The sequence below is a fragment of the Homo sapiens genome, chromosome 4 (genome assembly GCF_000001405.40).
Source record: "Homo sapiens chromosome 4, GRCh38.p14 Primary Assembly".
In the NCBI taxonomy this organism is placed as follows: Eukaryota; Metazoa; Chordata; class Mammalia; order Primates; family Hominidae; genus Homo; species Homo sapiens.
Window position 1 is genome coordinate 70,607,901 of NC_000004.12, and position 6,026 is coordinate 70,613,926.

Sequence of the window (6,026 nt, forward strand, 5' to 3'; positions counted from 1 at the left end):
CTATACACCTAAATTAAAGGGCTCCCAGCCCAGATCTGGTCACTCCTACAAAGTAGCCTCCTACCCCCTTCTCTTCACCTTCTCCTAAGTGGCCCAACCCAGGTCTTCGACTCCATGAAACTCAAACTTCTCTACATCCATTGATGGAGATTCCGTAGATGCAACCCACAAAAAAGAGCCCTGAGATGCCTCCCAACCTGGGGACTTCAGGAGGCTTACCAGGAGCATGTAGCCACCACCTATTGCCTCCCTCTCTTTAAGCAGGGTTCTGCTCATCCTCACTCCATCAACTGCAGCTGAAAGAGAGATACAGAAGAAAAATTTCAGTTTGCCTCCCCTAGTGTCCCTGGCAAAGGTGCGAGGGTAGGAGAATGACCTCCATAGTAGCCAGCAGATACCCACTGAGATCTATCTTAGCATCGCAGACAGTTTCCTGAAAAGCAGTATGGTACAATACATATAAACAGATCTGGGTTCAAACTTTGGTATCACATCTTATTATCCATGTGACTTTCGATGTGAAACTTAATCTCTCTGTGCCTGTGTTTTCATTTCTATAATGGGGCTACGACCTAGCATAGAGAGTTGTTATGAGAATGAAATGAGATAAAGCTCACAGATGAAACTGCTGAATCATAGCAGTTTTCTTCTTTTCCAACTGATCCTTTTGGTAAAGAGTATTCAGCAAAACAGCAGCAGCAACAGTGGAAGAATGGAATTGTTCCCATTATCTGATGAATTTGTGTTTTTCCATTAACACTCCAACCATTGCCCTGCTGGTCCTTCTTTGCAATTCAGAGCATGCTTTTGTGAGACACACATGCTGGTTTCCCCAGTGAATCTTGCCACAGCAGGGGCTCAAAGTTAGTCTCTCTTACTGATCATCTGGACACTTAATAATGGTAATAGCAGCCGGGTGCGGTGGCTCACACCTGTAGTCCCATACTTTGGGAGGCCGAGGCAGGCGGATCACCTGAGGTCAGGAATTTGAGACCAGCCTGACCAATATGATGAAGCCTCATCTCTACTAAAAATACAAAAATTAGCCAGGTGTGCTGGCATGTGCCTGTAATCCCACCTACTCAGGAGGCTGAGACAGGAGAATCGCTTGAACCCAGGAGGCGGAGGTTGCAGTGAGCTGAGATCACGCCACTGCACTCCAGCCTGGGCAACAAGAGCAAAACTCCATCTCAAAAAATAACAATAATAATAATAATGGTAATAGCCAGATCAACTTTGCAGGGGAGACAACATGTTGTTGAGTCGTTGAATAACATCTATCCCTGCCACTATTGTCACTTCAAATACTGGACCATTGGGCAAACACCAAGGTGGCCAGGGAAAGAGGCTAAATGTCACTCTCAGAAGAAGCCATATTGATTATTGAGAATTTCCTCTACTTTGGTTTTCTTCTACCAGGCATTTACATGAGAAAAAAAAAAATCTTCATACTGTGTCCCATTCTGAGAAGACTGTCCAGATAACCTGTCTTCTAGACCCTCCTTATCACCAATCTTTCAATTTTATTCTTTCCAAGTCCCTGACCAGGTGACCCATCTGGTACTAACCCTGAGTCAGTGTAGATCTGTATCACAAGCCATCGTCTCCTTCTACACAAAATAGATAACCAGAAATTCCATTTAAAGTTCTGCTCATTGAGTGGGGTTGTAGTACATTGATTGTCTACTTTCTGCTGATGCCAGAATACCATACAGAAATCCATGAGCCAGGAACATACTCATCAAGAGGAAGTATATGGAAGTCTAAACCACTTACTGGTGCAATCTAACTGAGCCCTCCAGACCTGCTGGAGCCTGATATCATATATGTTTCCATTTAAAATAAAATGCTGTTATGTTCCATTTTATGGTTCAGTTGATCATATATCACACAGTTCAAGATGGGCAACTCAAATAACAATCATTTGGCATCCCATAGTCAGGCATATTGTGTCTAGTGGAATCCAGTAGCAAGGCAAAAACTACTTTTTCACAAAGAAACCCCTAAGGTTCTGTGCTATTATTCTCCTATCGGGGCTTGCCACAAGTCTCATACAGCTGCAGATACTTCCAACACATTTGAGTCTTCTGGGTCATAATGCCCAAGTAACAAGGATGGACCCCTTTCATGTTCTGTCTACTCAAAATGTCCAGCCTTCTGAGTTATACAATATGTGGTATACTTTACCTTCAAAACACAAAGAAGTCCAACAAGAATTGTGCTTCTTTCTTTTTGTAAGGTGGTACAAGATGCAACAACTTGGAAACAACTTTAGCTATCCCAATATGCCTCAGGCTACTAGACCCCTAGAAATGTTGTTAGCACCGTTAATGTTTTGGTGTTTATCTTCTACCCTCTGGCTTGCTACCTCATGTTAATCCAATCCTGTTGCATTGTGTCTTCAATGTACTGGATGGGCATGATGTTCTATGGAATATAAAGAAGATCCAGTACCCTCAGGACTGTTAGGCTAGATTGCAGGAGAGTTGACATAGTCCTAGGGCAAGAGAGTATAAATTTACATTGTTCCTGTTTTTTAAAAGCAAATTACTTCTGATGTTTCTTACTGATTAGAACAGAAAGAAACAGCTACCAGATCACTAGCTATATACTAGGTGCCATGGGCTATGCTGATTTGCTCCAATAAAGTTATCACGTCTGGAAATACATTTGCAACTGGCATCATCACCTGATTAAGATTGCAACAATCCACTGTAATTCCTCATGACCCATTTAGCTTTTCCACCAGCCAGACAGGTGAGTTAAATGGGGAGGTGGTAGGACACCTTTTCTGTATCTTCCAAGTTTTCTATCATAATGCTAATCTCTGCAATTCTCCCTACAAGACTTGCTATCTTGTTGGGAGTAAGGAAGAAGGTGTACAGTTCCAGGGGCTTCCTTACACTTGGCTCTTCCTACTATAACTTTTATTCCATTGGTATAAGAATCATTGTGGGATTATTATATATATCTATTCCTGGGCTGGATGCAGTGGCTCATGCTTGTAATCCCAGCACTTCGAGAGGCTGAGGTTGGCAGGTTGCTTGAGCCCAGGAGTTAGAGACCAGCCTGGGCAACATGGTGAAACCCCTTCTCTACAAAAAAATACAAAAATTAGCCAGGCATGGTGGTGCCTGCCTGTGGTCTCAGCTACTTGGGAGGCTGAGGTAGGAGGATAATTTGAGCCCAGGATGTGGAGGTTGCAGTGAGCTGTGATCACGCCATTGCACTCCAGCTTGGGTGACAGAGTGAGATCCTGTCTCAAAAAATAAAGATCAAAATAAAAAATAAATTAAAAAAAAGGCCGGGTGCAGTGGCTTACACCTGTAATCCCAGCACTTTGGGAGACCAAGGCAGGTGGATCACTTGAGGTGAGGAGTTTGAGACCAGCTTGGCCAACATAGTGAAACCCCATCTATACTAAAAATACAAAAATTAGCTGGGTGTGGTGGTGTGTGCCTGTAATCCTAGCTACTCAGGAGGCTGAGGCAGGAGAATTGCCTGAACCCAGGAGGTGGAGGTTGCAGTGAGCCGAGATCGCGCCACTGCACTCCAGCCTGGGTGACAGAGCAAGACTCCATCTCAAAAAAAAAAAAAAAAAAAAATCTGTTTCTCATCTTACTTCTATAAGCTTTAACCAGTAAATATGAGGCTTTTAAGGTTCAGAACCACTTCCTAATAACCCCCCATCTTACACATTCTCCCTACTTAATTGCCTCAGGTCCCTCTGATAGTGGCTTAGGGAAACTATCATGGTATACAATTTGGCCACATTTCAAGGTTCTTCCTCATAGGAACCTGATGTCCCCTCAGTTGAGGGGCTTTAGGTCTGGAAACTAGATAAGAAACTATACATCCCACCACAGCAATTTGAGTTAGGCTCAGTGAATGTAGAATTTTTTTTTTGTCTTTTTATGTCAAGCAGCACATTTATGTCAAGCGGAAAGTGGACAATCAATGTAGGACAGGATGTCTATCTATTTTTTCCTATAGACCTGTGATGAAGTAGCCATCATACAGAACCCTATTGGTCAAAACATGCTGCTTAGCATTCCATCCTGTGGCTTATTGGTCATTGCATCCTTGTCTCTGAAAGATAAGCACCACCCCCTGGCCTCTGTCTACTATTTCAGACTCCTATTTTTCCCATTGAAATTCAAAAGCAGCATCCCTCGTTATCATATCTGGTCCACAGAGAAAAACTACAGTCTTCGTTTCTTAATGCCTTAGTGAAGAAAGCGTTGTCTGGGCTCTTCTGAGTAGAAAAGGGTGAAGAGTGAATCTAGAGGAGTAAATGCAATACAGTCAGCCCTCCATATCCAGGGGTTTTTCATCTGTGGATTCAACCAACTGCAAATGAAAAATGTCATTGGATCTACAATGAACATGTACAGACTGTTTTTCTTGTCATTATTCTCTAAACAATACAGTGTTAAAACTATTCACAGAGCATTTACATTGTATTAAGTATCATAAGAAATCTAGAGTTGACTTAAAGTATTTGGGAGTATGTACATAGGATATATGCAAATACTATTTCATTTTATATAAAGGACTCGAGCATCTGCAGATTTTGGTATCCTCAGGGAGGTCCTGGCAATCCCCCACAGATACCAAGGTATGACTGTACATCCATTATGCCAATGTGTCAGGTGTGGCACACCTACCATTGGTGTAAAGACAATAATCTTTATGTAGTAAATTAATAACATTTTTAAAATTTACCTCATGTGATGCTGGTTTTCCATTTACAGACGCACAAAACAGATTTCTTTTAAAATAGATTTTCTTAAGTGATGAGATGTAAGAAAAAATATTAAGTAAATAGAACAGGTTGTGATTGGATATGGCAATAATCATAAAGACAGTCCATAAATGACTATGTACATGAATGAACTTTGGGAAAACATTGATTGATTTAATTCAACCTCCTCATTTATGGGTGAGGAGACTAAAAGTCCAGAAGAGTAAGGTCTTTTTTGAAGTTTTGGCTGCTATTGGAGGCAGAAGAACCCAAGCCTCTGGATTTCCCATTTGTCACTCGTCCACACAGATCCTCCACAGCACTGAAGTATTCTTTTGAGAACCTAATGAAAGCTGTGAATTATTATTCCCAAAAACGTAAATGGAAACAACACGTAAAATTCTGCCTACAATGTCAGCGATTACTCAGACAGCCTAAAGTTCATTCACGGACCTAAAGTTAAGCAACCCTCATCTAATCATTTAAATACCCACCAATGTGGAGTGTTATACAAGATGAAGCAAATATTTAAACTGACCCAGGCTAAGTGTCTGAATTTTTCTAGAACTCAATAACATTGTCTTTGGGAAAATGAGTCTTAAACACATAAAAGCTTTGAACTTCTAAGTGTGTTTCTCTTCCTTCCAAAACTTCTCAGTACTAAAAAAGTTGACTTCTATAGACAGTATGTGGCTACCAGTCAAGTGACATCAACAGACAGACTGCTGCATTTTACAAAGAGAAAGATCAAACCAGAAGTTTAGTTGATTTCTTTCTTCCATAAACATTAGAGACTGGGGGTAAAGTAGAAACAGCAGCAACCACACTTCACAGAAGCCAGACGTTAGAAACACAAATTCCAGCTTTGAGGAATGATTATTATAAAGCTGTTTGTCATAATAACTTTTGCTGATGCCTTCAGCTGTCTCCCTGCACTTTCATCTTTCCCCAGGGTTCAGCAGCTTTCCAGCTGGAGACCCGCGCCTAACAACCGGTTTGATAATTACTTAAAGATAAGCTCTAGCGAGCACAGAGAAGGAAATGACCGTGGGTTTTTCAGAGTGAATGTGGATTTGCATTCTAATTTATTCACAAACTAGAAATGTATGGGTGTTATTTAAAGATGTGTTTTGGAAAAACTGACATAAAAAAGATCAACCCTGAAGTTATATGTCTAGCACGCTTTGGGTATCTTTCAATGTGACTGTCTAGGGCTGTGCTGCCTCCAAGAAGCAAAGAGGACAGTTTCCCAGAAGACAGAAGCTTCAGCACTTCCATGGGT